The sequence below is a fragment of the Homo sapiens genome, chromosome 6, assembly GCF_000001405.40.
Source record: "Homo sapiens chromosome 6, GRCh38.p14 Primary Assembly".
Lineage (NCBI taxonomy): Eukaryota > Metazoa > Chordata > Mammalia > Primates > Hominidae > Homo > Homo sapiens.
This window is the reverse complement of record NC_000006.12, coordinates 6,847,814-6,863,281: the sequence shown is the minus strand read 5'-3', so window position 1 is coordinate 6,863,281 and position 15,468 is coordinate 6,847,814. Positions and strand designations below refer to the sequence as shown.

At 45.2% G+C, this 15,468-nt stretch overlaps 2 annotated features.

Moving 5' to 3' along the window:
* Positions 5,427 to 6,626: an enhancer, noted in NCBI's record as "BRD4-independent group 4 enhancer chr6:6856889-6858088 (GRCh37/hg19 assembly coordinates)". NCBI's record gives its function as "activates an origin of replication core promoter dependent on BRD2, P300/CBP, MED14 and CDK7 cofactors, and independent of BRD4, by STARR-seq in HCT116 cells {active_cell/tissue: HCT116}" and the evidence as "EXISTENCE:reporter gene assay evidence [ECO:0000049][PMID:35650434]".
* Positions 11,852 to 12,146: an enhancer, noted in NCBI's record as "tiled region #12260; HepG2 Activating non-DNase unmatched - State 10:DNaseD, and K562 Activating DNase matched - State 5:Enh". NCBI's record gives its function as "activates a minimal TATA promoter and a strong SV40 promoter by Sharpr-MPRA in HepG2 and K562 cells {active_cell/tissue: HepG2 | K562}" and the evidence as "EXISTENCE:reporter gene assay evidence [ECO:0000049][PMID:27701403]".

Below are 15,468 nucleotides of genomic sequence, written 5' to 3'. Positions count from 1 at the left end.
CACACTACCAGGTAAACAACCAGGACCTGCCAGGGTGAGAGCTGAGGGTGAAGGGAACTCAAACCGGAGAGTGGAGGAGGGAGACGACAGATATGGGTTTGGCCCCAAGATCAACCACAGTTTGGGGGCTGTAATTTGTCTTACTTTCTTCTTCTGAGTTTTCTTTAGGGAAGAGGGATACATGGGACCACGGGGGCTGCAACTTGCAACTGTGGAGAGAAGCAGTTACGTGGCATGTTATGGATTGAACTGTGCCCCCAAAATTCACATGTTGAAATCCTAACCCAAGCACCTCAGAATGTGACCGTATTCGGAGGCACAGCCTGTAAAGAAGGGGCCTAAGGTGAAAAGATGTCATTGGGGGGGCCCTACTCCTATAGGACTGGTATCCTTATAGGAAGAGGAGGTGAGGACACAGACACACACAGAAAGAAGACCATGTGAAAACACAGGGAGAAGGTGGCATCTGTATGCCAAGAACAGAGGCCTCAGAGGAAACCAACCCTGTGACACCTGGATCTTGGACTTCCAGCCCCTGGAACTGTGAGAAAATGAAGTTCTGGTGTTGAAGGCACCCAGGCTGTGGAACTTTGTTATGGCAGCCCTAGCAGACTAATATATGGCACAAGGAGAGGACCGTGGTGCCAAGAAAAATGTGCCTGTCACTTCTCCAGCTGACGTGCCCTGGCTACCATGCTCTGAAATCTACCCTGGAACTCTGCGTGTGTGAGGCCAGGCTTCCCACAGGCTGCTCCCAGCCAGGGAAGAGTACAGCAGGGATACTGAGGCAGGCCTGTTCCCTAGAGCCCGCAACTTTGGCTCTCCATCAGCTTGGCTGAAACTGTACTGCAGCGTCAGACTCTTCCTACCCAACCTTCCTCCCTTCCCTCTCCTGCACGAGGCCACCAGGCTGCTGCCTGGTCTCCTGGCTCTCCCAACCTCCTCTAGTTCCCTCTTCACTTTCTCTTACAACTTTTTCCCTAAAGACATCTCTTGCAGGTTCAATCTACCCTCTGAGTCTGCTTCTTAGAAGACCTGGGCTAATGGACTTAGTGAGTTAGTCCTCCCTACTTGCACCCATTTCACAGATGAGGAAGTTGGGGCCCAGTTTACAGAATTTTATCGGAGCCACCCCTCTCTGACTGCACACACCCACCAAGATAAGAAGCACTTTTACAGGCGGGCTCTGTTTGCTCAAACTGTATTTTATAATTATTACTATGAAAAAAGAAGAGTGTCTTTGAGAATTTACCTTTAGATAGCAAATTCCTATACCCCTTCTCCGATTTACTCACCCCTTGGTACTTATTTCTAACATTCTATAATATTTTACTTGTTTATCTTTATTGTCTGACACATTGCTACTGAGGGAATGAGTGAATTACCTCAAAATGTACCATCATCCTCACTGCTCACAAAGTTGGATAGCAAAGGTCAGTGAAAATTTCCCCCAGCTTGGCATTTACGTTGCTTCATTTAAGTGATTGTTCACTTCTCTGTGAGCACTTCTACATTGGAAGCTCCGTGAGAGCAGATTAGAATGAATGAATGAATGAATGACCTGGAATCACCCTGGGTTGTGTCTGGATCGTTTGGGTGGGACTCTGTGAGCCTTGTCCTCCTCATTCTGCTCCTATTGCTAATTGTAGAGAGGTGGTAGCAGCTCTCCAGACTGAAAAGGATCTGGATGGTTTCAGTGATGGAGGCAGCAGATTATCTGGGCTGAGCTCAAAGTCCCATGCAAATGAAGGTGAGTAAGAACCTAGGTAAGAACCATGTGTTCAGCGGAGCAATCGTCCAGCTCAGCCATTAGGATGGGATCAGGACATCATTATATTAAAAAAAAAAAAAAAAAAAGAAAGAAAAGAAAAATCCTGGAAGGACTCCCTAGCCCACACCACTCAGGGAAGCAGTGCACGAGGCTTCAGTTGATGATTTAAACAGCAGGGCTCTTGTGCTGGGGAAATAGTCCTGGAGGTGGGAGCTAGAGTTGAGGCAAGGCTGGGAAGGAGGGAGGTGAGAATATCCCCAGAAAGTAGATAGGGGCTCAGACTTGTGGCGTTGGGGCAGGGGGCCCCGCTGACCAGGGCTGGGCCCACCCGTGATGAAGGAGATAAAGTGACCCAGTGCTGCATGTGTGAGTGGCAGCCGCAGCGATGAAGGAGACAAAGTGACCCAGTGCTGCATGTGTGAGTGGCAGCCGCCCCAGGACTGTGTCTGCAGGGGAATCCCTTCCTGTTCCTGCTCTTGCTCAAAGGCATGGGGCTGGATCAGCGCCTTGTGGAGTTTGTGGAGTTTGGGCCTCTGTCTCAAATGTTACTGAACAACCAACTTAGCTTCGGCTGCATGTGGGTGCTTGGTGACATTTACTTTTTGTTTGTTTGTCTTTTTGAGATGAAGTCTCACTTTGTTGCCCGGGCTGGAGTGCAGTGATACAATTTCGGCTCACTGTAACCTCCGCCACCCGGATTCAAGCGATTCTCCTGTCTTAGCCTCCCGAGTAGCTGGGATTACAGGCACCCGTCACCATGCCCAGCTAATTTTTGTATTTCTAGTAGGGACGGGGTTTCACCATGTCGTCCAGGCAGGTCTCGAATTCCTGACCTCAGGCGATCTGCCTGCCTCGGCCTCCCAAAGTGCTGGGATTACAGGCGTGGGGCACCGAGCCCGGTCTGACATTGACTTTTTGAAGTCAAAGTATGACAAGTTTGCAGCATTAGCTTTCAGTGAGATCCCGCAGGACCAAGGTCATATGGAAACTTCTGCCAAAGTAAACCCCTTTCGCCTTCTTCAAATTCTTTACAAAAAAAAAAAAAGCTTAATTTCAGGTTAAAAAAGTACATGTTATTATTATTATTATTTAAAGAGACAGAGTCTCGCTGTCTAGCCCAGGCTAGAGTGCAGTGGTGTGAGCATAGCTCACTGCAGCCTCCAACTCCTGGGCTCAAGCAATCCTCCTGCCACAGCCTCCTGAGTAGCTGGGACTACAGGTGCACGCTGCCTTGCCTGGTTAAAAAATACATGTTAATGTTGACAGACTTTATACTTAATATTTTTAGATGGGATGACTTAAGAGGCATAAAAAGAAAATTAATCCCTTCCTTCCTTCCTTCCCTCCCTCCCTCCCTCCCTCCTTGCCTTCCTTCTATTGAATGTGTAATAGGTAGGCTATCCAGAGACAGGCGGAGCCAGTGGCCTATCTTTAAGAAGGAAAACATGGAAGGGGTAGAGAAGTTAAAGCACTCACCGAAGATTTTTCCAGCTATTACGTGAGTGGCCACCCCAGTTCTGTCCAACACTGCAGCCACTGGCCATGCCGGGCTCTCAAGCACCTGAAATGTGCCTTGTCATAATCAAGATACGCTGTCATTGTAACAAACACACTGGATTTTGAGGATTTAGAGTGAAAAGGAATGCAAAATTGCCCATTAACAATTGTTTTACTATTAACTATATGTTCAAATGCTATTTTGGTTACACTGAGGTAAATAAAATATATTGTTGATATTAATTTTATCTGTTACTTTTCTTAGAACATGGCTACTAGAAAATTTAAAATCCTGTGCATGACTTGTATTATATTTCTATTGGACAGGGCCGGGCTACACATTTAGAGCCCATAATCATAAACAGCAGGGCTTGCTTTCATAATTTTCTTGGAAACTAAGGTATCAACTCTTTATGTATTTTGTCTAGATTCAAAATGCTGTATACAGAGAGCCTTGAAGAGTTGATAAATCTAGGGCTTTCTGTTGGAAAGCTGGAATTTGTTTTCCCCCAAAGGGAAAACATTAGATGACATCAGGCATATATGTACAGGAATTGAGGATGGAAGCAGGGGGGTGTCAGTCCGATATTAATAATTCCGGAGTGAACGTAGAAAGGCATTCAGCATCTGAAGAAAGGCCTGCAGTGGAAGCAGGAAATCTGAGTTTTAGCGTTCCTTCTGCCACTCAGAGGAGGAGCTGAGAAAAAGCACCACGGGTGACAATGCAAGGTCTGCACACATGGGAGTCCCCAGGACCAAGTCTCCAAGGCCTGGGGGAGCAAGTGCAGATGAGAGCATTTTAATTCCAATTTTATAAGGAAAAACAGAATTTCCTGAATAGAATGCCCCTGAACTCCTTTGAGCATGGAGCTCACCAAGGTTTAGGAAACTTGTTAAAAAAGCAAAACTAAGACAAAGAACGCCTCATTATTGTGGTCAGACTCCTCCCCTCCTGCATAGGATTCACTGGAACGTGAATTACAATCTATCAGTTTCACTGTTGTCTCCCCACCAAGAGCCTGCGTGTATAATAAACCCGTGGAGTACTCATACAAGGTGTGATGAGCAGAAGCGCACAAGATTATGTTTATGGGGCGCCTGGAGGACCCAGAGGCTGAGAGTTAGGGCAGCCTATAGGAGAAACAGTCTGTTCTCTCTCCGGTCTCATTTTGCATTTTGGAGTCATTAACCCAGACACTACATTATTTAACCACGTGAGACGGTCTTTCGGGTCTGATTTGAAATCTACAAAAATGAGGAAGCCAAGGGATGAAAATGCAAGGTCATGCTTTAAGCCTGTGTAACATTCAAGGGACTTTCTCCCTAGGAAAGAAAACAGTTGGGCTAGTACGCCCTTCAGATGCTCCAACGTTGAGTTTCCTTTTGTGAAGGATTTAAACCAGATTGTTGCTTTTACTTGAGTTGTGCTGATTATAAATACTTAAATTCCACGACGTATTTTAATTTTCAATGTGCACGATGTCCAGCAAGGAGAATTCTGTCCAACATTTTTTTCCCTGTCCAACACCTAAAGGCTATTCATACCAAGTCAGGCCGTAACTCCACAACTGCATTTCAGCATATCTCCTGTTTACCTTGTACAGTAGTATAGTAATCTGAAATAATTTATACTAGGTGCTTATCTATTATACTTTATACATAAAAAACAAAGACAATTTAGAGAAATAACTTACTACATATTTTGAACGAAACGCCCTGGGATGTGGTGGGGTAGAACAACAAAAATAAAAGAGAAATTTTTAAATCTGAAGGGAATTTTATCCTGAAATATAGATTTTTAGATAGATTCGAAGCAAAGAGGATAATGTGTCATGCTATCTTTTTTCTTTTGTCACAGCTATTTTTAATCTTGATTGGTTCAGAAGTTGAGGCATCCTGAAATTCTACTGGGTCCAGTCATAGCTGCATATACAATATACACCCTTCCCTTTGTTGGCTGTATGGGCATCTTTTTTCATTTCTTGATCTTTTCTCTAGTTGTTGCTTACAACACATCATAGTCAGACGATCAAGATTTATCCTCTCGGAATTTCTCTTAATAGTTCAACTGCTGGAGTCAGACAATTGAGTTCAAGTCTCACTTGCAAGCTCTGTGACCTTGAGCAAGTTCACCAGTCTTTCTAAATCTCATCTGTTAAATAGGCATAATAATGGTGCCAACTCACAGGGCTGGTGAGGATTAAAAGAGATTATTCACATAATGCCCTTAGCCCGGTGTCTGGCACTCAGTAAATTGTGACTGTATTTATCTCTCCTCTGCCAACCTCACCCTGCCTTCATACAGAGCCGTGCCTCCAGGGTGATCGGAAGCCTCAGCACCAGCATCCCCAGCAGCCTGTAAGAAATGCAAGTTTTCCATCCCACCTCGGACCCACACAGTCATCCCTGGGAGATCTATGTGTGGGACAAGTGTCAGAGGCACCCTACACTAGATTCTAGCTTCCTTCCACCTCCGGGTGGTTCTGCACACCAGCTCACACTTTGCTCTCAGGTCCTGCCCCACCTCATTCCTGGGAACAGTCCGGCTGCAGGTGTGGAAAGAGATGGAGGTAGATTCTGGGAAAGGGCTGTTGACTCAGTACTTCTGGATGGACCAAGGGCGTGGAGGGTATTTGGCCCATCCCTGCCTCAAGCACAGCCAGCAGAAAGGGGAACTGAAAGGAATTTCTGAGTATGCCTCAAGGAAGCCAGGGGAATTAAGCAAGCCCTTGGGGGAGGGGAAGGGCCTGAATCCCTGAATAAAGGTGAGGCAAGTCGGCTCTGGGATGCAAGCTTCCCAGTAAGGCTGCAACGGGATGCCCAGCTCCCTGATCAGCAGCTCTCCCTCTCCGTCACTCCACACCCTTCCGCCAGCCCCAGGGGACAGCGGCTGCATGTCCCAGCTGCACTGCCTGCTTTCCTCCACAGCTGTACCGGGAAGACAGTCCAGCCCCCACCCGTCACTCCTCTGACAAACGTTTGCCCTGGTCACCACGTATCTGGGTCATAACCAACAGATCTGCTTATTTGCCTCATATGGAAAGTTGTGAGCTCACTCAGGCCAGGATTTCAGTCATTCCTGCAACCACTATTTACCAAGTACACTGTGGCCAGGCTTCATCTGGGGGCCAGGATACAGCTGAGAACAAGGCAGACGAGGACCACAGCTAGCACCCCTTGTCCCGGCAGACTCATCCCACCAGCGGGGCTCGACTGATCCCCTTGCCTCTGCTCTCCCTCCCTAGGCTCCACCTACTCAGAAGTCCTCGGGCAGCATTTAAGGACACGAATCACCTGACTTCACTGCGGGGAAATCCTCTCACGGCATGACTTCCTGTCACAGTAGAATAGAACCCACGCTCCGACCCATGACCTACAGCTCTCAGCATGCTCACTCTAAGAGCTCTGCCAGCTTACAGCCCTCACGTCCTCATGGTGCCAGCAGCCTCCAAACCTGGTCCTGCGACACAGGATCTCTGTTGGTTCCTCATCCTGGGATGCTTTTCCCAGACCCTCCATGTCTAGCTCCTTCCTCCCATTATCTGACAGCTCTGTGGAATGCAACCCCACCCACCCATCATCACTATCTCCCATTCTGCCTTAGTTTCTTCCTTCGTTCTTCCTTTTCTTTTTGACAAGGTCTTGCTCTGTTGCCCAGGCTGGAGTTCAATAGTGCAATCATGGCTCACTGCAGCCTCAACCTCCTTGATCCTTGATCCTCCCATCTCAGCCTCCCAGGTAGCTGGGACCACAGGTGTAAGCCACCAAACCTGGCTAATTTTTGTTGTTGTTGTTTGCGTTTTTGAGAAAGGGTCTCACTCTGTTGCTCCCTGGGTTCAAGTGATTCTCCCATCTGAGCCTCCCGAGTATCTGGGACTATAGGCACGTGCCACTACGCCCGGCTAATTTTTGTTTTTGTTTTTGCTTTTGTTTTTGTTTGAGACTGAGTCTCACTCTGTTGCCCAGGCTGGAGTGTAGTGGTGCAATCTCCACTCACCGCAACCTCCACCTCCTGGGTTCAAGCGATTCTCCTGCCTCAGTCTCCCAAGTAGCTGGGATTACAGGCGCATGCCACTATGCCCGGCTAATTTTTGTATTTTTAGTAGAGATGGGGTTTTGCCATGTTGGCCAGGCTGGTCTTGAACTCCTGACCTCAGGTGATCCACCCACCTCAGCCTCCCAAAGTGCTAGGATTACAGGCATGAGCCACTGCACCCAGCCAGACTTGCTAATTTTTGTATTTTTTTTGTAGAGACGGAGTTTCACTATGTTGCCCAGGCTGGTCTTGAACTTCTGGGCCAAGTGATCTGCCAAAGTGCTGGGATTACATGTGTGAACCACCATGACTGGCCTGCCTTAGTTTTCTTAGTAGTATTTATCCCTGCCTAAAATTCTCTTCGATGACTATTGTCTTACACATGCATTTGTTTACTGATTTCTCTCCTTCCCTAGAACGTACAAGTTCCATGGAAGCAGAGACTTAGTTGGCTTGTTCACCACTCTATCTCCAATGCCTAGATGGTGGCTGGCACTCATGAGGAGCTCAATAAATATATGTTGAATGAATGGATGGAAAATGGTTGGATTTGGAGTTTATAGAATATCTCACTAAATTCTGGTCCTGAGGTCTTTTTTCTCCCACTCCCTCAGTAGAGGCACAGGCTTTTGAGATGGCCAGCAGGCTGCAAATGTGACTCCTTAGTCTCTAAGATTTGTTAGGGTGTCAATGATGGAAATCTAATGATACTTCCTGGCTCTAGTAGAAGTCCTTCAGGACGTCAGAAAATAGATTTAGGGAAAAGTTGCTATTGAATATTAGCCTGGGAGTAATAAACATTCATTGGTAATTTTCTTACAGTACAGATACTATTTTTTTTTTTTGAGACAGAGTCTCACTCTTGATCAGGCTGGAGTGCAGTGGCATGATCGCGGCTCACTGCAACCTCCGCTTGCTGGGTTCAAGTGATTCTCCTGTGCCTCAGCCTCCCCAGTAGCTGGGATTACAGGTCTGTGCTACCAAGCCTGGTTAATTTTTTGTATTTTTAGTAGAGACAGGTTTCGCCTTGTTGGCCAGGCTGGTCTCGAACTCCTGACCTCAGGTGATCAGCCCCCCTCAGCCTTCCAAAGTGTTGGGATTACAGGCATGAGCCACCGCGCCCAGCTCAGATACTACTTTAAAAGGTTTCTACACATTCTTTAAAGGTCAGACAGTAGTATAGGATGGGTTCATTTTAAGTTGTTTGTCAGAAAGTACTGAGTGATTTCAGTAGTGCAGAACCATTGAAGAAAGCAATGGTTTTGGGCAGGTGAGTTTTCCAGTTTAATAAAGCATCAGACTTCTTAACCCTAAAATCAAAATGCAAAGATGAAAGTCTTTTTGACAGAAGAATTCTTATGGAGTAAAATGTTTATATGTACCTACCCTATTATGCTGACTTTCCTGGAGAGTGGTCTGCAGAGAGAGGAAGGGTCTCTGTTTGAAGCCAGAACTAAGGACATGATTCCAGAGACTCTCACATCTATTTCTGATTTTGACTCTGACATGCTTTTGTGAGACCTCCTTTTGTTTTTCTCTTCCTTCCTTCCACTTTTCCTCACTGCTGACATGGAAATTTTAAAAGTTCCTTCTCTCCACCTGCTGCTTTGAGGTCCCAAAGGGAAATTCAAACAAACTTCTCCTATCCTATTTGCAGTTTCTGCCCCAGACAGATGTTCGTTTAAACAATCAAATACTCTGATGGACCTGCAGGACTGTCCCGTAGGAAGGGCCGCCGAGGATCTTACTTCCCAGTTCTGTGCTTAGGAATTTGGTGCCTGAGAGGCCAAAACCTGAGAGGGAGGTCAGGAGTGAGTTTTTCCATCCCTTCATCACCATGGACACCTGCCTGCAACCTGATGGGTTGGCCCAGCTCTCCTGACAGATCAAGATTTTGAATTGAAGGAGAAAGATCCAAGAAAACAACATGCTCTTCTGTACAGAGGCAAAATCATCTTTTGGAAACACCTCTATGTTAGTCAGTTAGCCCTGGGCTCTAATTCCAGCTCTGTCCTCATTAGCTTTCACCTTGGGCAGTTCTTTATCTAAGGGATAGAAATTAAAAATACTGTCTATGTCCACCTCTTCTCACTGGAATGGATAGTCCATGAAGACAGGGATTTATTTTATTTTTTTCTTCTTCTTTTTTTTTTTGAGACGAAGTTTTGCTCTTGTTGCCTTGGCTGGAGTGCAATGGTGCTATCTCAGCTCACTACAACCTCTGCCGCCCAGGTTCAAGCAATTCTCCTGCCTCAGCCTCCTAGGTAGCTGGGATTACAGGTGTGCACCACGCACCACATCTGGCTAGTTTTTGTATTTTTAGTAGAGACAGGGTTTCACTATATTGATCAGGCTGGTCTCGAACTCCTTACCTCAGGTGATCCACCCACCTCGACCTCCCAAAGTGCTGGGATTACAGGCATGAGGCACCGTGCCTAGCCAAGACAGGGATTTATATGTTTATGGCTTACTGATGGATTCCCAAAGCCTGGAACAGTGCCTGGGATATAGCAGTGCTTAATACTATTTGCTAAATAAATGAACTTCGAGTTTTCCACTTCCCGCTGTTAACTGAGAAGGATAGTGGCATAGTAGAAAGAATACCAGTGGAGCTGGAGCTACTCCTGGAGGAGTGTAGGTACTGGGGCTGTCTTACCCATTTGGAAGGCCCAGCTCACAGCAGGTGCTGTAAGTACTGGGTGAAATGAAGTAAATTCATCATAGAATTGGGAGACTTGAGTTCTAGAGCAGGGATTTAAAAGCTTTTTCTGAATGGGCCACACAGTAAATATTTTTGGCTTTGCAGGCTATACAGTCTATGTTGAAACTACTACAATTCTGCCTTTGTAGCATGTAAGCAGTTACAGACAATACATAAAGAAATGGGCATGTTGTTCTCCAATAACATTTTACAGTTGATTCTTGCACAACGGGAGTTGGAACTGCAGGGGTCTACTTATGTGGACTTTTTTCAACCAAAGATGGATGGAAAATACAGTATTGGTGGGATGGTAAACTCATGTATAAGGAGGGTTGACTTTTCACGTACTCAGGTTCTGCAGGGCTGACTGTGGGACTTGAGTGTCTGCAGATTTGGGGTACATGTGGGGGTCCTGGAACCAATTCCCCATGTATACTAAGGGACTACTATACTGAAGAAGGTGCAACACATTGATTATCATTCTTTAGATCTGTTTTCTTATCTCTAAAATGAGTACTTACATGAATTGTAAATGCTCCCTCCCATCTATCTACTCTGAAATAAAATATATATACAATGTGGGTAAAACAAGAAAGCAATCCCTCCACCAGCTAGGATAGAAATCAGACAATTGTCCCTTTAATAATTTCATGGTAAAGTAAGGGCAAATGAACATGACCTACCAAAGTTACATCCCAAACTGAGCACACTGTCCAAAAACACGTGGTGGCAGATAAAATGGGTCCTTCTGATCAGCTGCCTGGTACAGATGCATAAATGAAAAACAGCAAGAAAGGGCTGCAAGTTACATTTTTTTTTAAAGACTTCCCTCTTCTCCCCCAAATGCAATCAATCGTTATTTTAATTTTTTTCTCATTATTTTTAAACTTTCTTCCCTGAAGTTATTTTATGGGCCATTCCAGCTTGTATCTTATAAGAATTTACTGACTCTTTTACTAAAATACAACGATAACCTTACTTTTTCCCTGTGCACTATCCATACTTTTGGTAATTTATACTCATGTTAGGTTCACTAAATCCTTTATAGTGCTGTTTACGGCAAACCTTACTTTTTATGTTTTACTTTTATGACTCAGCAATCACCAAACCAGCACAATTCTTTCTGATTTTTGCAGAACACTTTATGCTTACGTAATATAAAGATTTTTTACAATGTGCCATTTTAATACTTTGTCAAATCTGCAATACAGCCAAGGAAGCAAGGAGATGAAATTATTACATCATCAGGAGAGTCCTTCTTTGGCCAATCAAATAAACCATTTTCTTTGCCATTTCTAGAAGCTTATGAATATTCCAGATGAATTCAAGTTGCCAGTGGCCCGTGTCTCTCTCATGAGGACATCTCCTTTATAAAGAAGACTGAGGGTTCCTGCTTTTCTTGTGCTTCAAAGAGCTTACCTTTCAGGACTTTGTACCTTGTATTGGCGATAATTCTTTCAGTTGCAGGTTGACAAGAAACCTAATCTAAACAGGCTTAATCAAAAAGGGAATTTAGTCAGGCACAGTAGCTCAAGCCTGTAATCCCAGAACTTTGGGAGGCAGAGACAGGGGGCTTCAGGCCAGGAGTTCGAGAGTAACCTGGGAAACAGAGTAAGACCCCCATCTCTTAAAAAAAAAAAAGAAAAAAAAGAAAAGAAAAGAAAAGAAAAGGGAATTTACTGGCCCTTGTAACCAAGCTTCCCAGGGTAGACTGGGTGTGACTTCCGGTATGACTTTACTCAAGTCTCAAATGATAAAACCCGGCCCTGTTGTCTCTTTTTCTCCAGCATCTGCCTCCTACACAATGGGCTCTTCCTTCACAAGATGGTTGCCAATAGATCTCAAGAAGAGGGGCTCCTGGCTTCAAAACCTGCATAGAAAGTGAAGATCTTTAGCTCAGCATTTCTAGGCAAAGCCTCATTGCATTTCATGGTCTCTGATTGGACTAAGGGCCTATCCCTGAACCAGTCATGGCAGGAGGCTTATGAGATGCTGATTGGCTTAGACCCAGGTCACATGCTTTACACTAGAGCCAGCTGACTCACACAAAGTAAACACCTACGGAGAATCTGGGACAGTTACCAGGGAAAAAGCCAAGATAATGAAGCTGGACAGCCAAAGCAGCTGGTCTTTGCTACCAACGCGGCTGCGTTTTCATGGGGAAGCCAGACTAGAGGAAGTGGAGGAACACATAATTTCTAAGGAATCCTACAAATATGATCACACTTCCTTGGGGGCAGATTTAGCCAGAAGTAGAAGTTCCTAGCTGGCATATCATCAAAATTACTGAGGCATTTAGATTTAGTTGGTTTGAGGCGGGACACACTGAGTGTAATGAATCTGGGTTTTTTTTGTTTTTTTTTTTTGAGATGGAATCTCGCTCTGTCACCAGGCTGGAGTGCAATGGTGCGATCTCCACTCACTGCAAGCTCCGCCTCCAAAGGTTCAAGCGATTCTCCTGCCTCAGCCTCCCAAGTAGCTGGGACTACAGGCACCTGCCACCACACCCAACTAATATTTGTATTTTTAGTGGAGACAGGGTTTCAGCATGTTGGCCAGGATGGTCTCGATCTCTCGTCCTCGTGATCCGCCTGCCTCGGCCTCCCAAAGTGCTGGGATTACAGGCCTGAGCCACTGCGCCCGGCCATTAATCTGTATTTTTAACATGCTTCAGGTGATTCTGAAGATCGGATGGAAGTGGGGATCCCGGGATGTACCCCCGCTGTTTTCAGGGCCAGCTCCAGCACAGGGGCCAAGCAGGCCACTATGTTCCCCATTGCTCTGCCTCCTGAGGTCTGGACTCACGGACTTTTCCGGCAGATCTCTCATGGCTCCTCTATGTGCACCTCTTGTTTGTCTGGATAAGCTGCTTACCCCAGAATGCTCTACCCCCTCCCACTTTTGTGTCCTTGTTCATGCTATTTTCTTCTGAAAGTCCTCCTCTTCTGCCTGTTGAAATCTTAGCTATTCTTGAAACCTCATCTAAAATTCACTCCCTAGCCTGGCCAACATGGTGAAACCCCATGTTTACTAAAAATACAAAAATTAGCTGGGTGTGATGTCACGCACCTGTAATCCCAGCTACTGGGGAGGCTGAGGCAGGAGAGTTGCTTAAACCCAGGAGGCGGAGGTTGCAGTGAGCCGAGATTGAGCCACTGCACTCCAGCCTGGTGACAGAGCGAGACCCTGTCTCAAAAATAAATAAATAAGTAAATATTCACTCCCTCTTTTTTTTTTGAGACAAGTCTCACTATGTTGCTCAGGGTGGAGTGCAGTGGCAAGATCATAGCACACAGTGGCCTCTAACTCTTGGGCTCAAACGATCCTTCCACACAGCCGCATGCTCACTTCTTTGAAGTCTTCCCTGATCACCCAGCCAGAAGTGATCTTCTCTGCCCTTGGCCATACCTTGTATAGTCTACCTTGGACTGTAGTGTTCATTTCCCCTCTAAGGCTAAACCCCTGGGTGACAGGGACCATGTTGTCCCTTGAGTCTTGTTTCTCCATAGGCCCCGCTTATGTGGAGAAGACACTCAGTTTATTCCTGCTGTGTGGAGGAACACATGAGTGCAGAGAACCCTCACACCTTTGTTTTCTTCCCCCTTCTTTCTGTTTTTTGCCTTTTATTTTTCCCAACATGTCTGCCTTGGAAAGCTCTCATAAATTTCAGCCTAATTTGCTGATGAGGATTTGAGGTGTTACTTTTGCAGGATTGCTTACAATTTAAGAAGAGATTGTTGGGAGACAATAAATTTTAGTCTTATGGCTGGGCGCCGTGGCTCACGCCTGTAATTCCAGCATTTTGGGAGGCCAAAGCGGGCAGATCACATGAAGCCAAGAGTTTGAGACCAGCCTGTCCAACATGACAAAACACCATCTCTACTAAAAATACAAAATTTAGCCGGGCACGGTGGCACACGCCTGCAATCCCAGTTATTTGGGAGGCTGAGGCATAAGAATTACCTGAACCTGGGAGGCGGAGGTTGCAGTGAGCTGAGATCCCAACATTGCATTCCAGTCTGGGTGACATAGCAAGATCCTATCTCAACAACAACAACAACAAAAAAAAAAAAAAAGAAAAAAGAAAGAAATTTTAGTCTTAATGATGGAAGAACAGAAGAAAAGACCTAAGAACACAGAATTACAGAATTCAGGGACTCTCTTCTTTCTATGGACTCCTTTGTTTTCTGAATGGGCTCTATTATGAAGTGAGCACAGAAGCACATGACAATAAAAAGGGTAGGATAACATTTAGGAGGATAGGTAGAGATTCTGTTTAAATAAGCTAGGAGACCCAGGAAACATTTAAAAAGAAAAAAGATTGCAGATTTGACTACCCCCAAAACTGAGAACTATCTACATGAGAATATACCTTAAATTTGATAAACGTCAGGAAAAAAGTTGATAATCTTATAACTACTGAAGTTTATTAATTAAATGTTTACAATTTGATATGAGAAAGCTAACATCTCAACAGAAAAATGCTCAAAGGCTAACAATAGGCAATTTATGGAAGAGGAAATACGAATGGCTAGAGTATATGAAAAGATGGTGAACCTCACTGCAGTCAGGGAAATAGAAGTGAAATTAACCAGACATCAGTTTCTACCTATCCAATGTTCAAAATTTAAAACAATTTATAGCATCCAGAGTGGGGAGGTTTGGTGAAATGGGCATGTTATCCATTGCCAGTACTGGTACAGATTGGTGTATTTACCAAAGTAGTTTGGATGCATCTATAAAATAAATGTTTATATTCTTTAACTGAACCACTAATCCTATTTCTAGGAATCCAAGTTATGGCTAAGAAAATAAAAGCACCAGGACGTAAGACTGTAGGTATAAAGATTATTTCAGTGTTGTTTAAGGTGGGAAGCTGGGTGGGAGGAGAACACTGAATATCCATCATAAGGAAACATGCATTCATTCTGTGGCACATTATAAAAAGAAGGCCGTGGATCTACATGTACAGTGGAGAGAATCATGATATATGTTATATTGTGTATTAGGATACCGTTTTCATAAACAAGTGATCGAGAAAGAGAGAAAACCCCTTCCATATGTGTTTATGTTTCTACATGTTTGTGAACCCATATAGAAGGGTGTGAAGGTTACATACCAAAACCATTACCATTGTCACCTCAGGAGGATGGAATTATAGTGGGGGAGCCTGGCCTGGTCTCAGCATTGTGAGGCAGGTGGCGCGCCCAAGGCAAGAAATCAAATGGAAACAATGGAAACTCGGGCCTTGTCTCCCCTGCTTTTTACTCTAGTCCCTTGTGCACCTGAGGAGACCTTGTGCACACAATTGTTGGCACCCCACGCTGCTTACCCCAGTTCATTCACTCCATACAAACGCTCCTTGGGTCTAGGGGTGTGCTCATCCTGGGCCAGTCTGCCATTGGGAGGACAGGCCCAGGAGGAGGCCCACTTTGGTCTTGGAAGAGGGCTGGAGGCCAGGCG